Source organism: Homo sapiens, chromosome 12, assembly GCF_000001405.40.
Source record: "Homo sapiens chromosome 12, GRCh38.p14 Primary Assembly".
NCBI lineage: Eukaryota > Metazoa > Chordata > Mammalia > Primates > Hominidae > Homo > Homo sapiens.
In genome coordinates this window covers 120,582,851-120,602,206 of record NC_000012.12, presented here as the reverse complement: position 1 = coordinate 120,602,206, position 19,356 = coordinate 120,582,851, and the positions used below count along the sequence as shown (strand labels likewise).

Here is a 19,356-nt window from a genome sequence, read left to right as displayed (position 1 = left end):
GTAACAGCCCTCCCATTGTAACCAGTCTCGGCACTGCACTGTCTCCTGCGATTTCTGTACACCCTGTCCACATCTAAATGATCCCTTTAGTCAGCCTTCCTTAAGTCACCCAGTTTGAGCTTGCCATCTGTTTCCCACTGGGACTGATGGCCACCCCAATTTAGGAGCCCCTATTTGGCCAGGCGTGGTGGCTCATGCCTGTAATCCCAGCACTTTTGAGAGGCTGAAGCAGGAGGATCCCTTGAGCCCAGGGGTTTGAGACCAGCCTGGGCAATAGAGCGAGACCTCATCTCTTTTTTTTTTTTTTTTTTTTTTTGAGACGGAGTTTCGTTCTTGTTGCCCAGGCTGGAGTGCAATGGCGCGATCTCAGCTCACTGCAACCTCCGCCTCCTGGGTTCAAGCAATTCTCCTGCCTCAGCCTCCCAAGTAGCTGGGATTACAGGCATGCGCCACCACGCCCAGCTAATTTTGTATTTTTTAGTAGCAACGGGGTTTCTCCATGTTGGTCAGGCTGGTCTCAAACTCCCGACCTCAAGTGATCCGCCCGCCTCGGCCTCCCAAAGTGCTGGGATTACAGGCGTGAGCCACCGCGCCCGGCCTTGAGACCTCATCTCTACAAAACATAAACAAAATTAGTTGGGCGTGGTGGCAACTGCCTGTAGTCTCATCTACTCTGGAGGCTGAAGTAAGAGGATCGATGGAGCCCAGGAGGTAGAGGCTGCAGTGAGCTAACAAAAAAAAAAAAAGGAGAACCCCTACTTTAGAGAAGGAAATGGAAATTCAAAGAGGAGCAAATGGGAAACCAACAGGGGCCACCTGGGGGTGTGCTCAGCAGCCAATAGGCACTAGTGGATGCTTGATAAATATCTGAATTAATGAGTGAATGAATGACTTGCTGTCACTGGGAAGGACCCACCTGCCCTTACCATAGGTGCTGGAACAGCAGGTCAGTATCTGAGCTACTTCAGCCCGACACTGGTGACCAGTTCCCTCGCCCAGCCCAGAGTCTTAAGCTTCAGGAAGTTTTGCATTGGAAGGATTAACACACAGCCCGGGACACCCAGGAAGCAGCCCCCAAGCTCAGTGAGAGACTCAAGAGTTATTTTTGAAAAGCAAGCAAGGCCTGCAGGCGGCCCTGGCAGAGGCAGAACGCAGAGCTGGAAAGAAGAGCCAGGAGCAGAGAGAGAACAGACAGCTACCACAGAACCCACGCCCCACGCCTGTGACGTGGGCCCCACGCACGGCGACATAACATGGTGGCAGAGGCGGGGAGGCGTCCTGTGACCCCTTGGGAATTTTATTTTAATTGTGGTAAAATATACATCACATAAAATGCATCCTTGGGAGTTTTTACTGCTCCCGCCCCAGGCTGAATGACATTGAGGACTGGGTTCCCACAGGAACAGGGAGTGGGAACACCAGCCAAACCCATTTGCATCCAAATGGTGTGTGAGCTTTTGCTCAAGTCTGGGAAAATCCTGGAACTGGAGGGAGGGTCATTGCTCTGAGGCAAAGTTGGGGTCTGAGGATTAGGACACAGGTGACAAAATTAACATTAGCGGTGCATGGTGGCACATGCCTATAGTCCCAGCTACTCGGGAGGCTGAGGCAGGAGAATCGCTTGAACCTGGGGGGTGGCAGTTGCAGTGAGCAGAGATCGCGCCACTGCACTCCAGCCTGAGCAACAGAGCGAGACTCCGTCTCAAAAAATAAAAAATTAAAATGGTAATTAAAAAAAGAAACAGTTAACAGCCTCTATCCCTGCAAAATAGTGGGGTGGCAGGAGTGGCTGTGGGGTCCGGGAGGAGGGGAGCAGGTGCTGGCCCTCGAGGTAGGGCGGGGAACTGCGGGCACGGAAAGCAGCAGCCGAGCAGCAGAATGCGGCTAATGAGCCGTGCAGGTGAAGGGAGAGGTGTCTGCAACGGGGTGGAGGTCACAGGCAGCCAGAGGGAGCCATCAAGGCCCCAAAATAACTCCTGCTTCTGCAGGAGAAACTGGAACTAATCAAGGTGGGAATAATCCGAAAATCCCTCAGAGAGGGACTGCTAAGAGGCCTTGTGTTTCCAAGCAGGGATTAGAGGGGAAGAAAATAAACAAAAGATGGAGTTTGTCCTGGAAAACGGTGCCAACATGAAAGCAAGTTCTTCCTAGGGCCTTGGTCAGAGGGCCACCAGTAGCTAATATCCATTGAGCGCCTACTATTGTATGCCTGATGCATTCATATGGCTAAGCATGTGAGCTCTGAAGTCGGCCTGCCTGGATTGGAATTCCTGCTCTACTTCCTGCTAGCTGTGTGACCTCCGAAGAGTTATTTCCCCATTCTGAGCCTCAGTTTCCTTATCTGGAAAATGGGGATAAAATTCATACCTGCCCCGCAGGGTAGTTGAGGATAAGTGCTCGATACATGTGAACTTTTATTATAATAGAAATATTTCCAGGGGCTCATTTCCTGGGATTGCCGGTGGCTCATACCTGTAATCCCGGCACTTTGGGAGGCCGAGGTGAGTGGATCACCTGAGATCAGGAGTTGGAGACCAGCCTGGCCAACATGGCAAAACCCCATCTCTACTAAAAATACAAAAATCAGCCAGGTGTGGTCTCAGGTGCCGGTAGTCCCAGCTACTTGGGAGGCTGAGACATAAGAATTGCTTGTACCCGGGAGACGGAGGTTGCAGTGAGCTGAGATTCACTGTGACTCCAGCCTGGGTGACAGAGACTGTCTCAAGAAACAAAACAAAACAAAACAAAACAAATCTTTCCAGCAATGCTGGAGGAAGAGGGTTAGGTTTTGTCTCCTCTTTCTGCAGGGTAGTGAACCAAGGCTCAGAGAGCCCAAGGTCACATGGCTAATAAGTGAAAGTGTCAGGATGGTGACTCATGTGAGTCTAAGTCAGGAGCATGTGAATTCACTAGCCCGGGCCACCCTGCTCGCTCCTCAGTGGGCAGGGAGGAGGGCAGTGGCCCACAGGCAGGGCGCAGCCCCTCACCCACCGCCTCTCTCTGGGCCCCATGCTGGGAGCAGATACAGCATGCACGTGGGAAACAGTCTCCGGGTGAGACATGTACAGTGGAGAGGGACGAGCACTGCCCTTGAGCATGGAAACTTGGCTGAGTTCTTTCCTCTCTCTGGGCCTCAGTTTCCCCAGTTGCAGAACAAGTGGTGGTAACAGGTGACTCGAGTCCTGGAGAGTCTAGATTCTTGCTCCCTGGTTCTCTGGTGAGTATCCGGTGCAGGCAGCAGTGAAACGAGGACAAGAGAGGAACCTGGGCCACTGCCAGGTGATCTCCCCTTTGTCACTTCCCTCCCTTCTCCTGGTGAATAGTTCCAGGCAGAGGGAACAGCAAAAGCAAAGGTCGGGAAATGAGAGTGAGCATGGCACGTTTGGGGAGCTACAAGTAGAAGAATCCAGTCACCCGGTTTATTCATTTATTCAATTAGTTAATCAACATTTAGTAACCTGGTTTACTCATTTGATTATTCAACCAGCATTTATCACTGTGTGCCAGGCAGTGTTGGAGTACTGGGGATACAGCGGTGAACAAAACAGAAAAAACCACCATCTTCACGAGGCTCATTCTTTTTTCTTTCTTTTTCTTTTTTTTTTTTTTTTTGAGATGGGATCTCGCTGTCGCCCAGGCTGGAATGCAATGGTGCGATCTCGGCTCACTGCAGCCTCCACCTCCTGGGTTCAAGTGATTCTCCTGCATCAGCCTCCTGAGTAGCTGGATTCAGGTGTCTGCCACCATGCCCGGATAATTTTTTGTATTTTTAGTAGAGACAGCGTTTCACCGTGTTGACCAGGCTGGTCTCAAACTTCTGACCTCAAGTGATCCAACCACCTTGGCCTCCCAAAGTACTGGGATTACAAGCGTGAGCCACCCCACTCAGCCTCATGGGGCTCATTTTAATTGGGGGAGATGGAAAAACGAAGTAAACAAATCAATACCCAGAATCATTTCAGCATGGGATAAGCATTTACATGAATAAAAGCTAATACGTGTAAAGCATCTGCTATGGGTCAGGCATTGCCAACAGATGTTAAATAATTTGATCCTTGCTACCACACGATGAGGCTGTAATCACCACTCCCACCTTACAGCTGAGGAAATTGTGGCTTAACAGAGAAGTTAAGTAACCTGCCCAGTGCCACACAGCATTGGAGCAGGTGGAGCTGTGATTCAAATCCAGGCCATCTGGCACCACTGTGCTGGCTGGTGAGGAGAGCACTAAATAGGGCAACTTGTCCAGGGAATAGCCCTCTAAAGAGGTGACATTTGAGCCAGGACGCATGAGAAGGCTGAGGCTGCCATGCAAAATCCAGGAAGCAGAAGGTTCCAGATGGAGGGAACATTGAGTGCAAAGGCCCTGAGGCAAGTAGGGGCTTCACAGGTTGGGAGAAGAGCGAGGAGGTCAGTTTTAACTTGAGGAGAGGATAGAAGAGGTCAGAGCGTTGCGCGGGGCAGACACGTGGGGTTGGGGGGGAGCCTCCTCTGTCCTCCTGAAGGAGGCCCAGGAGACGTTCCCAGGAGCCTCCCGGCAGGTCTGAGGGATGCTTGGGAAGCAGGGCCTGAAGTCGTTCTGACAGGTGTGGCTCCCCTCCTCTCCCCTATCAAGTCGATGAGGCGTGGTCAAAGCTGATCTTCCCCGGGGCCCATTGCTGGGAAATGAGTGCAGCTGCAACCTGCCGTGTAGCCTCGGCCAGCACCACCCACAGGTGGCCCCCTCCCTGACTGATGGGGACATGGAAGGGCCCGTCTCATTCTTCCCTCTTCACCCTAAATCCACATCCTCCCTGGCCCTGTACCTCCCACAGAGCCACAAATGAGGGGCTCCCATTCTCCAGTGGAGGCTGGACCACCTAGCTCCTGCCCTCAGGGTGCCCCCCAGAGGTCTGAGTCCAGTCCCAGCTCAGTGAGGGAATGGGGTGTTCCCCAGCTTGGTCTCAGAGGGTCTGAGAGTCAAGAGTCTGGCCTTAGGGAGAAATCTTGGTGGGCTGGAAAGGGATCCACGTTCCTAGTCATATAGACCTAAATTAGAGTCCAGACTCTATCCCCATGTGGTTTTGGGAAAGTCGCTTCACCTAAGTCTCAGTTTCATCATCTGAAAAATGGGAATAATCACACTACCTACCTCATAGGGTCAATGTGAAAATTAAATATAACATGGCTGAGAGGGGGCTTTCTGGGGCTGGAAATGTTCTATATCTTTACCTGCAAGGTGATATATAAAATTCAATGAAATGTACATTGTAGGGTGGCTCATGCCTATAATCCCAGCACTTTGGGAGGCTGAGGCGGGTGGATGACTTGAGCACAGGAGTTCGAGACCAGCCTGGGCAACATGGCAAAACCCCATCTCTACTAAAAATACAAAAATTAGCCAGGCGTGGTGGCAGGTGCCTGTAATCCCAGCTACTCGGGAGGCTGAGGCAGGAGAATCGCTTGAGCCTGGGAGGCAGAGATTGCGGTGAGCCGAGATCATGCCACTGCCCTCCAGCCTGGGCAACTCTGTTGGAATCTCATTCTTGAGATTCCATCTCAAAAATAACACCACCACCACGGTAGATTTATGCATTTTACTGTATGTATGTTACAACTCAATTTTTTTTTTTTTTTGAGAACAGAGTCTTGCTCTTTCGCCCAGGCCAGACTGCAGTGGCACTATCTCGGCTCACTGCAAGCTCCGCCTCCCGGGTTCACACCATTCTTCTGCCTCAGCCTCCGGAGTAGCTGGGACTACAGGCACCCGCCACCGCACCCAGCTAATTTTTTGTATTTTTAGTAGAGACGGGGTTTCACTGTGTTAGCCAAGATGGTCTCGATCTCCTGACCTCGTGATCCGCCCGCCTCGGCCTCCCCAAATGCTGGGATTACAGGTGTGAGCCACTGCACCCGGCCATAACTCAATTTTTTTTTAAATGCAAAGTACCTGACCCATGGCTAGCATCACATAAATGTTAGGTAGTATTAGCATAAAGTGTTCCATAAATATTTATTGAATATATTTGTTAAATAAGCCCTTGTAAGTACCCTTCCATGTTTTGTTTATCATTTATTTGATTCCCAGGGCTCCTGGGGCCTGGATGCCTACAGGAGCTCAAACTCAATATGTCCGTGACTGATTTCCTTCACCTCATTCTTGCTTCTCCCCAGGCTTCTCTAACTGCCCAATGGCTCAACCCAGAAATGTGGATGATACCCTGCCTGCCTTTTTCTGTTCTTCTTCTCTCCAACCTCTTACAGCCAACTGATTACTAAAACTTCCTGTAGTAGACTCTCTCCAAAGACGGCCCCCAACCATTCCCCCGCCACCCTATAAGGGCATGCTGACCTCCCATCAAGAGGTAGAGATTGAGGCTGGGCACAGTGGTTCACGCCTGTAATCCCAGCACTTTGGGAGGCCAAGACGGGCAGATCACCTGAGGTTAGGAATTTGAGACCAGCCTGGCCAACATGGTGAAACCCCGTCTCTAGTAAAAGTACAAAAACTGCCCAGGCATGGTGGCACACACCTGTGGTCCCAGCTACTTGGGGGACTGAGGCACAAGAGTCACTTGTACCGGGAGGTGGAGACTGCAGTGAGTCAAGATTGTACCACTGCACTCCAGCCTGGGCGACAGAGTGAGACCCTGTCTCAAAAACAAACACACAACAACAAAAAATAGATCAATGACATAAAGGTAGGAGCTAATACCATAGAACAATTAAAAGAAACCATAAGGCCAGGTGTGGTGGCTCACGCCTGTAGTCCCAGCTACTCGGGAGGCTGAGGCAGGAGAATCACTTGAACCTGGGAAGTGGAGGTTGCCGTGAGCCGAGATCGTGTTATTGCACTTCAGCTTGGGCAATAAGAGTGAACTCCATCTCAGAAAAAATAAAATAAATAAAATAAAATAAACCACAGGGATAAATCTTCATGATCTAGGATTTAGCAACAGATTCTTCAATTTGACACTGAAATCACAAGAAACAAAAGAAAAAAGAGACAAACTGGATTTCATGAAAAGTAAAAACTTTTCTGCATCAAAGAACATTATCAAGAAAGTAAACAGGCAACCTGCAGAATGGGAGGCAATATTTGCACATCGTATATCTGATAAGAATTTAGTATCCAGAATATATAAAGAACTCAACAACAAAAAGACAAACAACCCTTCTAAAAAATGGGCCAAGTGAGCCAGATGCGGTGGCTCACGCCTGTAACCCCAGCACTTTGGGAGGCCGAGGTGGGCAGATCACGAGGTCAGGCGTTTGAGACCAGCCTGGCCAACATGGCGAAACCCTGTCTCTACTAAAAATACAAAAATTAGCCAGGCGTAGTGGTGGGTGCCTGTAATCCAAGCTACTCAGGAGACTGAGGCAGGAGAATCGCTTGAACCTGGGAGGCAGAGGATGCAATGAGCTGAGATCGTGCCACTGCACTCCAGCCTGGACAACAAGGACAAGACTCTGTCTCAACAACAACAAAAAAAAAATGAGCCAAGTAAGCGAACAGACATTTCTCCAAAGAAGATAAACAAATGGCCAGAAAGCATATGAAAAAGATGTTCAACATCATTGGCCATTAAGTAAATGTAAATCAAAACCACAATAAGATATCACCCACTAGGATGGCCTTAATTTTTAAAAAGGGGGCAGAGCTCTTCCTGTTCTCCATCATGGCACAGGATGAAGGTGAAAAGGAGAACCCCACGTGGGAACTTTGCATTCACAAGCTCTGCCTCGACATCTGTGTTGGGGAGAGTAGAGACTGATCCCTGCAGCCAAAGCATTGGAGCAGCTTGCAGCCCGGACCCTGTGTTTTCCAAAGCCAGATACACTGTCATATTGTTTGACATCCGGAAAAATGAAAAGCCGAAAATGCTGTCCGCTGCATAGTTCAAGAGGCCAAAGCAGAAGAAATCCTGGAGAAGGGTCTAGAGGTATGGGAGTATGAGTTGAGAAAAAATAACTTCTCAGATACTGGAAACTTTGATTTTGGGATCCAGGAACACATCAATCTGGGTATCAAATATGACCCAAGTGTGGGTGTCTATGGCCTGGACTTCTCTGCGGTGCTGAGTAGGCCGGGTTTCGGCATCACAGACAAGAAGCACAGGACAGGCTGCACTGGGGCCAAACACAGAATCAGCAAAGAGGAGACCATGCACTGGCTCCAACAGAAGTGTGATGGGATCATGCTTCCTTGCAAATAAATTCCCGTTTCTATCCAAAAAGCCAATAAACAGTTTTCAGGGAAATGTAAAACAAAATAAAATAAGAAGTGGGGAGAGAAATAACAAGTGCTGGCTGGGTGCGGTGGCTCGTGCCTGTAATCCCAGCACTTTGGGAGGCCGAGGCCGGCTAATCGCCTAAGGTCAGGAGTTCGAGACCATCCTGGCCAACATGGTGAAACCCCGTCTCTACTAAAAATATAAAAATTAGCCAGGCGTAGTGGCGCACGCCTGTAGTCTCAGCTACTGGGGAGGCTGAGGCTGGAGAATCGCTTGAACCTGGGAGGTGAAGGTTGCAGTGAACCAAGATCGTGCCACTGCACTCCAGCCTGGGCAACAGAGCAAGACTCCATCTCAAACAAACAGAAATAACGAGTGTTGGTAAGGATGTGGAAAAATAGACACTTCTGTTGTGTTAGTCCATCCAGGCAGCTATAACAAAGTACTGTAGACCGGATGGCTCATAAACAACAGAAATTCAGCCAGGCGCGGGGGCTAATGCCTGTAATCCCAGCACTTTGGGAGGCTGAGGAGGGTGGATCTTTTGAGGACAGGAGTTTGATACCAGCCTAGCCAACATGGGAAAACCCCATCTCTACTAAAAATACAAAAAGTAGCCGGGCATGGTGGCAGGGGCCTGTAATCCCAGCTCCTCAGAAGACTGAGGAAGGAGAATCGCTTGAACCCAGGAGACAGAGGTTGCAGTGAGCCGAGACTCTGCCACTGCACTCCAGCCTGGGCAACAGAGTGAGACCCCGTTTCAAAAAGAAACAACAACAACAAAAACCAGAAATGTATTTCTCGTAGTTTTGGACCCTGGAAGTGTGAGGTCACGGTGGCCAGCATGGCCGGGTTCTGGTGAGGGCCTTCCTCTGGGTTGAAGACTGTGGACTTCTCATTGTCCCCTCACATGGTGGAGAGAAGGCAACAGTGTTCTCCGGGGTCCCTTTTCTAAGCACATTCATCCCACTGATGAGGGCTCCACTCTCATGGCCTGTTTACTTCCCGAAGGCCCCACCTCCTAATGCCATCACTTCATGGGTGAGGATCTCAATATATGATTTTGGGGAGGACATGAACATTCAGTCCATTGCACTCATCCATTGCGGCTGGGAGTGGAAAATGGTGCAGCTGCTGTGGGAAACAGTTTGGCAGTTCCTCAAAAAGTTAAACATAGAGTTACCATATGACAGAAATTCCATTCCTAAAGAACTGAAAGCAGAGACTCAAACAGATCCTTGTTCACCAATGCTCATAGCAGCATTATTCCCAAGAGCCAAAAGGTGGAAACAAGCCAAATATCCATCAACAGATTAATGGATAAACAAATTGTGGTCTAGCCATACAATGGAATATTATTCAGCCATAAAAAGGAATGAAGTGCTGGCGCATGCTACAACATGGGTGAACCCTGACAACATCATGCTAACTGAAAGCAGCCAGACACCAGAGGTCACATATTGTATGATTCCATGGATCTGAAATGTCTGGAATAGGTACACCCATAGAGACAGAAAGCAGATTCATGGTTGTCAGCGGCTGGGGGGAGGGAGGATGGGGAGAGATTGCCATATGGGTATGGAGTGATAGGAAAGTGTGAAACTAGGAAGAGGTGGTGGTTGCTCAACATTGTGAATGCACTAAGCTGAGGCTCCCCCCAACCAACAGCCCTAACTGAGCACCCAGCCGGCAGCCAACAATGACTGCCAGCCACGTGGGTGAGGCCACTTGGGACCTTCCTGCCATCCCAGCAACCCCACGTGATGCAGAACTGCCCTCTCACCCTACAGAATCATGAGAAAAAAACAGTGTTGTTGTTTTAAGGCACACAGTTTTGGGGTGATTTATCGTGCAGCAAGAGGTAACCAGTTCTACCTGTAAACACTTTACAAAGCCACCCGTTTCTCTCTATCCCCACCACCCTCATCCAAGTCTCTCGTCTCCCTCCAGGCAGCAGCTTCCTCCCCAGGGTCCCTACCTCCAGTCCAGCCGCCTGAGGTCTATTCTTCCCTGCAGCCAAAGGGAAGCTTCCAGCTCCCGATCTCATTCTCTCAGCCGTCCACTCAGTATCCAAGCATTCAGTGTGCCCAACAAGGCCCTGAGGGACCTGTCCCTGCCCATCTCTGCAGTCCCAGTCCCCCTCACCCACACCTCTATCCCCTACAACTCACAGTTCCCGGAACTCAGCACGTCGCTTCCTTAGCACAAGCAGTTCCCTCTTCCTACAGCACTCTTTCCTACCTCCTCTCTCTTCCCCTAGCTCTTTTTCTCCTTCAGGCCTCAGCTCAGACACCACCGGCTCCAGGAAGCCTTCCCTGACCACCTGGGCTGAGTTAAGTGCCTCCTCCAGGCACCTGTTTACCCCCATTCTTACAAGAGCAGTAGCTGCTCTTGCCTTTTGTTGTTGTTGTTGTTGTTGTTGAGACGGAGTTTCACTCTTGTTGCCCAGGCTGGAGTGCAGTGGCGCGATCTCAGCTCACTGCAACCTCTGCCTCCCGGGTTCCAGTGATTCTCCTGCCTCGGCCTCCTGAGTAGCTGGGATTACAGGTGCCCGCCACCACGCCTGACTGATTTTTTGTATTTAGTAGAGACAGGGTTTCACCATGTTGGTAGGTCTGGTCTTGAACTCCTGACCTCAGGTGATCCACCCACTTCTGCCTCCCAAAGTGTTGGGATTACAGGCGTGAGCCACCGCGCCCAGCCTACCTTTTTAACAACCTGTCTCACCACCTAGTGAGCAATATCAGGGCAGGGACAAAGTCCTCTTTTGTTCTCAGAGCCTAGTGCAGGCCTGGCACAGTAAGTACTCAGGGAAACCCAGTGGAAGGGAGGTAGGAATTCTGTAATGCAGGCTGGGGACCTCACATCTCACATGAGACTGGTACATGAGTGAGGTTGGGCTGTGGGCTTCCCCGAGCCTCCCTTCTCCCAAGAAGGCCCTGGCCACTTGGAGAGGCCTGGAGCAGAGGTCAGGGAGGGACCACTGGGGGCTGAGGTCATAAATGTCCAGGCCGAGGGAGTGGAGTCCTCCTCCAAGTGCCAAACACCTGGGCAGTAACAAGTGAACGACATGTCTGTCTCCCCTATAAAGAATGTCCCAGGCCAGGCACAGTGGCTCATGCCTGTAATTCCAGCACTTTGGGAGGCTGAGGAGGCAGATCACCCAAGCTCAGAAGTTTGAAATCAGCCTGGGAAACATGGAAAAACCCCATCTCTACACAAAATACAAAAAAAAAAAAAAATTAGCCAGGCATGGTGGTGCATGCCTGTAGTCCCAGCTACTTGGGAGGCTGAGGTGGGAGGATCACCTGAGCCCAGGGAAGTGAAGGCTGCAGTGAGCCATGATTGCACCACCGCACTCCATCCTGGGTGACAGAGTGAGATTCTGACTCACAAAAAAAAAAAAAAGTATCCCGGCCAGGCGCGGTGGCTGACACCTGTAATCCCAACACTTTGGGAGGCCGAGGTGGGCAGATCATGAGGTCAGGAGTTCAAGACCAGCCTGACCAACATGGTGAAACGCCATCTCTACTAAAAATACAAAAAAATTAGCCGGGTATGGTGGCATGTGCCTGTAATCCCAGCTACTTGAGAGGCAGAGGCAGGAGAATCGCTTGAACACGGGAGGCGGAGGTTGCAGTGAGCAGGGATCGCCTCACTCCACTCCAGCCTGGGCGACAGTGTGAGACTCCGTCTAAAAAAGTGTCCCGATAAAGAATGTCATGCAGTGGTTACTTCCATGGGCTATGCAGGCAGGCAGACTGGGTTTCAAATCCTAGCTCTGTTACCTCCCAGTTATGTGACCCTGGAGGAGTGACTTCACCTCTCTGATGTTCGCTCTGCTCATCTATAAAACTGAGCATAATACGGCCGGGCACCGTGGCTCACGCCTGTAATCCCAACACTTTGGGAGGCTGAGGCAGGAAGATCACTTGAGGACAGGAGTTCAAGACCAGCCTGGGCAACATAGTGAGACCTCATCTCTACTAAAAGTAGAAATAAAAATTAGCCAGTCATGGTGGCATGCACCTATAGTCCCAGCTACATGGGAGGCCAAGATGGGAGGATCGCTTGAGCCCCAGGAGTTCAAGGTTGCAGTGAGCTATGATCATGCCACTGCACCAAAGCCTGCAAGACAGAGCAAGACCCTGTCTCAACAAAAAAAGGAATCTGGGGAAAACACAATAACAACAGTACAAAGAATAATTCACTCAGTCTTTACAACCATTAAAGGAGGTGGGTACTCTCCTTGTGCCCATTTTATAGATGATGAAATTGAGGCCTGAGGGCATGCAGGACATAGGTAGCTGAGGCTGGATTTAAACCAGGCAGTCTGAGTCCTCCAACCCTTTAACCACCGCCCTACGCTGCTCTCAAAGCCCCAAGGCCTACCTTTCCTGTCAGTCTGGCTGCTGCTCACCAAACAGATCAGCTGCATGATCTCAGGCATGTGAACCTTTCTCTGGGCCTTAGTTTTCCCACCTTCCCAGAGAGGATCACAGGAGCCAGTGCTGAAGGACACTCCCTTTTGGTTTAACAATCCAGCCCATGGCCAGTGTCTGGTTACAGCTGGTGACCCACTGACCAGCTAGCCCCAGCTGGGGCAACACACTCCATGGGCTGGACTGTCACAGGCGGGTCACCGCACATAGACAGCTGTACCATCCCCTCCACATTGGTGGGGTTCTGGCCTCTGCCTATTTCCAGCCCCCCAGGGTCCTTGAGGGAGGCTGCAGCGGCCACCCCCAGATGTCTATTCCTGTCCCTGGCCTAGCGCCGTGCTGGGGAAGCAGCAGCTATTTTGAGGTCCTTCTCCCTCCAAGTGTGAGCGGTGGGAACGCGCTGGGAACATCCCGAACTGGGAGGCCGCCCGCCCGCCACAGCCTTGCCTTGGCTCCGGGCCACACCAGTCCTGTGGCTCTGCCTCTTCTCCTAAGATCAGCTCTGGCAATGTGATCAGCTCTGATCACAGCCACCGCCCTGGGATAACCCAGGAGAACTGATTGCAAGGGGCTTCTGCTGGAGATGGGAGCACAGGGTGGCTGGGCTTTGCCCCTGGGGGGAGGACTGGACCCACTAGCTGGGAGAAGGAACCACTCTGAGCTTGAAATTGGGGACAATATTGAAAACAGTACTATAAAAATACCTGGCCAGCCGCAGTGGCTCATGCCTGTAATCCCAGCACTTTGGGAAGCCAAGGTGGCAGGATTGCTTGAGCCCAGGCCTTTGAGACCAGCCTGGGCAACATAGCGAGACCCTGTCTCTATTACATTTTAATGTATATTTTTAAAAAATACCTGACATTTCTTGAGTGCTCATGATTAAACAGGCCTTGTTCTAAGCATGTGACATGAATGTAAACTGTTTAATCCTCACAGAAAGGAAACAGGTTCAGAGAGGGAAAGTGACTTGCCCAAGGTCACACAGCCAGTAATGGCTGAATGAAGACTTGAACCCAGGTCAGCTGGCTCCAGTTCATGCTTTTAATCACTTTTCTCCCCTCTGAACCCTCCAAGCCCAGGGGCTAATATGAATTAGGAGAAAAACCACTAGCTTGAAGAGTCCATCCCTCTTTGTAATTGGGCCAGGCAGACTACCTCTGTGAGCTCAGCTCTCTCATCTCTGAGATGGGAATAATGATAGTACCCACTTCCACAGCTAAGGTAAGGACTGGTGTTAACATACCTTGGGGACTGGGGCTCAGTAACTTTTTTTACTTTTTTTTTTTTTTTTGAGACAAAGCCTCGCTCTGTCACCCAGGCTGGAGTGCAGTGGTGCACTCATGGCTCACTGCAGCCTCAACCTCCTGGGCTCAAGCAATCCTCCCACCTCACACTCCCAAGTAGCTGGGACTACAGCCAAGTGCCACCATGCCTGGCTAATTTGTACTTTTTTGTAGAGACGGGGTCTCACTTTGTTGCCCAGGCTGGTCTTGAACTCCTGGGCTCAAGCAATCCTCCTGCCTCAGCCTCTCAAAGTGCTGGGATTATAGGCATGAGCCACCATGCGTGGCCAGTAACTTCTTTAAATTATGAAACTAACATATGCACATCTCCATTTGTCTTTTCAGGATGCTACAGTAAAAATACCACAGACTGGTTGGCTTAAACAACAAATATTTATTGCTTTTATTGCTCACAGTTCTGGAGGCTGGGAAGTCCAAGATTAAGGTGCCAGGAGATTCTGTGTCCTCATGTGGTAGGAGAGGGAGAGAGCACTCTCTGGGGTCCCTCTTTTTTTTTTTTTTTGGAGACAGGACCTTGTTCTGTCACCCAGGCTGGAGTGCAGCGGTGTGATCTCAGCTCACTGCAACCTCTGCCTCCCAGGCTCAAGCTCAAGTGATTCTCCTGCCTCAGCCTCCTGAGTAGCTGGGATTACAGGCATGCACCACCATACCCAGCTAATTTTTGTATTTTTAGGAGAGGCGGGGTTTCACCATGTTGCCCAGGCTGGTCTTAAACTCCTAGAATCAAGTGATCCACCCACCTCAGCCTCCTGAAGTACTGGGATTACAGGCATGGGCCACAGTCCCCAGCCTGGGGTCCCTTTTATAAGGGCACTAATACTATTCATGAGGGTTCAACTCTTATGACCTAATCACCTCCCAAAGGCCCCACCTCCTAATACCATCATCTTAAAGGTTAGGATTTCCGTATATTAATTTGAGGGAACATAAACATTCAGCACACAAACATATGGCAAAATAAAATGGAAAAACAGAGGACATGGTAGAAACTAAGGCCTTCCTACTTCACACCTGAATTCCTCTCCCCAGAGGTAACCACCATCAACAGCTTCTTGGGTCACCCTTTGGAAATTTTCGATGCAAATAAAGGCAGAGAAGCCATATAGAACAGTGGTTAAGAACATGGACTGCCTGATCCAAATTCTGGCCCTGCTGTGGACAAGCTACGTGAAGCTTAGGCCAACAGTTTGTTCTCCCTGAGCCTCAGTTTCCTCATCTGTAAAATGGGGTTAATAAAACCAAGTACCTACTTTATAGGGTAGTTGTCAGGATTAAATGAGTCAGTCTAGGCAGTGTTTATTTGTTTATTTATTTATTTATTTTTTGAGACAGAGTTTTGCTCTGTTGCCCAGGCTGGAGTGCAGTGGCACAGTCTCAGCTCACTGCAACCTCTGCCTCCTGGGTTCAAGCGATCCTCCTGCCTCAGCCTCCCGAGTAGCTGGGATTTACAGGCAACTACCACCATGCCCAGCTAGTTTTTTGTATTTTTAGTAGAGATGGGGTTTCACCATATTGGCCAGGCTGGTCTCGAACTCCTGACCTCAAGTGATCCGCCCACCTCGGCCTCCCAAAGTGCTGGGATTGCAGACGTGAGCCACCGCGCCCAGCCTAGGCAGTGTTTAGAATGAACATTCCCTGGCCCATAGTTGTCCGATAAATACACACATACAGTGGACCCCTTCTGGTAAACACTGAGGTGGCCTTTTGCTATAACCAACGATGCTGCAAGCAAGACACATCCTCATTCACCTGTCATTTGGCACAAATGCGACAATCTCTGTGGGAGAAATTGCTGGTGGAGAAATTGCTGGGTCAAACAGTAGAGCCCTTGTAATTTCAATTAATTTTTGGATGAGCGAATTCTCACAGCAGGCGGGGACAGGGAAAGAGGTTCACAGGGCAGCGAGGACAAAGGAGGAGCAAGATGCAATGTTTTGACTGAAGTCCAGGGAGGGCTGCATCTGTCCCAGCAACCTGGAGGATGTGGCGGCTCCCCAAGCCCCTGGCTAAGCAGATGGAGGGTTTAATTTCATCTAGATTGTCCCCATAAGGGTTTTACAGAAAATTGGTTAAGATTCGAGGAGTAGGAGCCTCTTACGAGCAGTGGCTGCTTAATAAAATGCTGGAGCAGATACAGTTTCCCTTTGCCACCATCCACAACAGCAGCATCTGGGCTCTGACAGAAACCCCTCGGATGCCAAAGTCACCTCAGAATGGTACCCCAGTTGCGCTCTCCTTCCTCAGCATCTTTCTAGGTCCCCGAATACAGAGTAGAGAGCAAGGGGTTAAGAGCACAGGTTTTAGGGTAAGACAGATGTCCACCCAAATTTACTGTGTCAACTTGGGCAAGCCATTTTCCTCCCTGTGTCTCAGAGGATAATGGGTCCTAACTTCATGAGGCTGATGTGAGGACTCAATCAATCAAACCCAGAAAAGACAGTGGCCAGCACACTGGGAGAGCCCAATTAATGATCACCCAGGAGACACGGATGAAGAATAAAGACAGTGATCCCGGCTGGACACGGTGGCTCACACCTGTAATCCCAGCACTTTGGGAGGCCCAGACAGGCAGATCACATGAGGCCAGGAGTTCGAGACCAGCCCGGCCAACATGGCAAAACCCCATCTCTGCTAAAAATACAAAAAATAGCCAGGTATAGTGGTGGGCACCTGTAGTCCCAGCTACTCAGGAGGCTGAGGCAGGAGAATCGCTTGAACCTAGGAGGCAGAGGTTGCGGTGAGCCAAGATGGAGCTACTGCCCTCAAGCCTGTGGGACAGAGTGAGATCCTGTCTCAGAAAAAAAAAAAAAAAAGGCCGGTCGCGGTGGCTCACGCCTGTAATCCTAGCACTTTGGGAGGCCAAGGTGGGTGGATCACGAGGTCAGGAGATGGAGAGCATCCTGGCTAACACGGTAAAACCCTGTCTCTACTAAAAATATAAAAAATTAGCCAGGCGAGGTGGCACGTGCCCGTAGTCCCAGCTACTGGGGAGGCTGAGCCAGAAGAATCGCTTGAACCCGGGAGGCAGAGGTTGCAGTGAGCTGAGATCGCGCCACTGCACTCCAGCCTAGGCGGCAGAGGGAGACTCCATCTCAAAAAAAAAAAAAAAAAAAAAAAAAGGAATCTGAGAAGTCCCAGGACGACTGTAATAATGCTAACAGTAATGACAACAGTGACCACCCCATTGATCCAGGGGATACCTGACTCGGCTAAGGGCACAGGCTGGGGTCAGACAGACGTGGATTGGGCTCTATTGTGCACCTGGGTGAGTTGTGATGTCGCACCTGGGTGAGCTCACCTCTCAGAGCCTCATCGGCTTCCTCACCTGGGGAGGATAATGGCTCTGCGGCCCGGCTGGGGAGAGAACCGAGGAGGGGTTGGGGTGTGAGCCCCCGCCGCTGCCCCTTCGCGGCCGGCATTCCGGCGGCGGGCACGGCCGGGGCACACCCCGTCGCCGTCCAGCGGATCTCCGGGCCCCGGGGAAGACGGCCGCTCCTCCTCCATGCCTCCGCGGGCGGATTCCCCCGCAGCCTCCCGCGCCGCGCAGCGGGGACCCGGGTGATTGCAAACAGCCGCCGGCCTCATTAGGAGACTTATAATTAGCGGCTGGCGCAGCCCGAGCCGGCGCGCGCTAATTACCGCGGGGAGCCCGCCCGCCCGGCCACCGCCGGCGTCTGCACCCTCCTGGGCCAGAAGGGGCCGGGCCTGGTCCAAGACTGGGAGGCCGCGGGCCGTGCCAATGTGCTTCCTCCCGGGGCTGTGCCTGTGGGGGAAAAGTAAATCATTTGTTCAGAACAGCGTTTACTTGCCGAGGGCGGTGGCACACGCCTGTAATCCCAACACTTTGGGAGGCCGAGGCGGGCGGATCACTTGAAGTCAGGAGTTTGAGACCAGCCTGTCCAACATGGTGAAATCTCTACTAAAAATACAAAATTAGCCGGGCGTCGTGGCAGGCGCCTTAATCCCAGCTACTCTGGAGGCTGAGGCAGGAGAATTGCTTGAACCCGGGAGGCAGAGGCTGCAGTGAGCCGACATGGCGTCACTGCACTCCAGCCTGGGCGACAGAGCAAAAAACTGTCTCAAAAAATTCCTGTTGTTTGGCTATATTTTCTTTTTTCTTTTCTTGTTTTTAAGACAGTCTTAAAAATCAGTCTCAAAAAACAAACAAAACAAAAAAAACAAAAACAAAAAAAGGGCTTACTATGCACTCGCTGTGCCAGGCATTTTGTCCACATGACCCCGCTTAAACTTCATATCCACCCACGAGGGAGGAACCATTGTTATCCCATTGCACAGATGAGGAAACTAAGATCTGAGACATGAATTAACCCTCCTGACAGCACCTGGCCGGGCCAGTAAATGACGGAGTAGCGAATCGAACCTCCATCTGTCGTCTCTCCATCTTATTACACTAAATGGACGAGTGAAATCCTGCACGGGAGAGCACCAACCGTGTTGACCAGAACAAGGAGTCAGCTGGCTTTGGGTTCGAATTCTGATCCTGCTCCTAACTGGATACGAGGCTTTGGTCTGAGCCCCAACTGCATCTATAAAATGGGCGAAGCATTGCTGTTGAAATGAAGGCTGGGAGGAGTGAAATTTCTATGAGGGGTGGAGCGCTCAGGAGTTGGGGGTGTCTTGCTCTCTCCGCGCACTGCGGACCTCTGGCGCCCCCTGTTGGCCAAAGGAGGATGTCGCAGACACTTTCTGGTGAAAAGTTGTTCTTGGGTGGGGAGTGCCGTCACTGTCACTGGTCCCTTGGCAGGGCCACGGCGTTCCCTCTTCCTATTCTTTTCTTCCCTACCTTCCCCCACATCCCTCCTTTAAGGTGGCCAAGAAGAGTGGGAGATGGGAAAATTCAGAACTCATTCCAGATCTTGCAAAAATAGGTTGTGAAAGCTGCCCCCATTACGGACCTCACAGGACCAGCCAAGGCCAAGACACTTCTACAAATAATCAGGGATGGGCATAAAGACTAAGCTACAAAGCCATGCATCAAAGTATTGGGTATAACAAGAAAATCTAGAAATAATGTAAACGTCTACCAAAGGGATACTGACCAACTTCACAATGGTACGTCCAAACAATGCAATACTGCACAGCTAAAAAACAGTATTGTCGCTGAAGAGCTGACATGAAAATATAGCCAAATGGCCAGGCGTGGTAGCTCACGCCTGTAATCCCAGCACTTTGGGAGGCCGAGGTGGGTGGATCACCTGAGGTCAGGAGTTCAAGACCAGCCTGGCCAACATGGGGAAACCCTGTCCCTACTAAAAATACAAAAATTAGCCAGTTGTGGTGGCACACACCTGTAGTCCCAGCTACTTGGGAGGCTGAGGCAGGAGAATCGCCTGAATCCAGGAGGCAGAGGTTGCAGTGAGCTGAGATCGTGCTCCA

At 50.8% G+C, this 19,356-nt stretch overlaps 1 pseudogene, besides 5 other annotated features; it reads left to right on the top strand.

Annotated features, from left to right (window-relative positions):
- Nucleotides 4,652-5,152: an enhancer, noted in NCBI's record as "H3K4me1 hESC enhancer chr12:121034858-121035358 (GRCh37/hg19 assembly coordinates)". NCBI's record gives its function as "activates a minimal SCP1, AML or CMV promoter by ChIP-STARR-seq in primed H9 embryonic stem cells {active_cell/tissue: H9 hESC(primed)}" and the evidence as "EXISTENCE:reporter gene assay evidence [ECO:0000049][PMID:30033119]".
- Nucleotides 7,641-8,243, top strand: RPL11P5 (ribosomal protein L11 pseudogene 5; annotated as a pseudogene).
- Nucleotides 9,737-10,635: an enhancer, noted in NCBI's record as "H3K27ac hESC enhancer chr12:121029375-121030273 (GRCh37/hg19 assembly coordinates)". NCBI's record gives its function as "activates a minimal SCP1, AML or CMV promoter by ChIP-STARR-seq in naive H9 embryonic stem cells {active_cell/tissue: H9 hESC(naive)}" and the evidence as "EXISTENCE:reporter gene assay evidence [ECO:0000049][PMID:30033119]".
- Nucleotides 10,636-11,535: an enhancer, noted in NCBI's record as "H3K27ac hESC enhancer chr12:121028475-121029374 (GRCh37/hg19 assembly coordinates)". NCBI's record gives its function as "activates a minimal SCP1, AML or CMV promoter by ChIP-STARR-seq in primed H9 embryonic stem cells {active_cell/tissue: H9 hESC(primed)}" and the evidence as "EXISTENCE:reporter gene assay evidence [ECO:0000049][PMID:30033119]".
- Nucleotides 17,273-17,342: a silencer, noted in NCBI's record as "silent region_4956". NCBI's record gives its function as "represses an Ori minimal core promoter by ATAC-STARR-seq in GM12878 lymphoblastoid cells {active_cell/tissue: GM12878}" and the evidence as "EXISTENCE:reporter gene assay evidence [ECO:0000049][PMID:35858748]".
- Nucleotides 17,373-17,742: a silencer, noted in NCBI's record as "silent region_4955". NCBI's record gives its function as "represses an Ori minimal core promoter by ATAC-STARR-seq in GM12878 lymphoblastoid cells {active_cell/tissue: GM12878}" and the evidence as "EXISTENCE:reporter gene assay evidence [ECO:0000049][PMID:35858748]".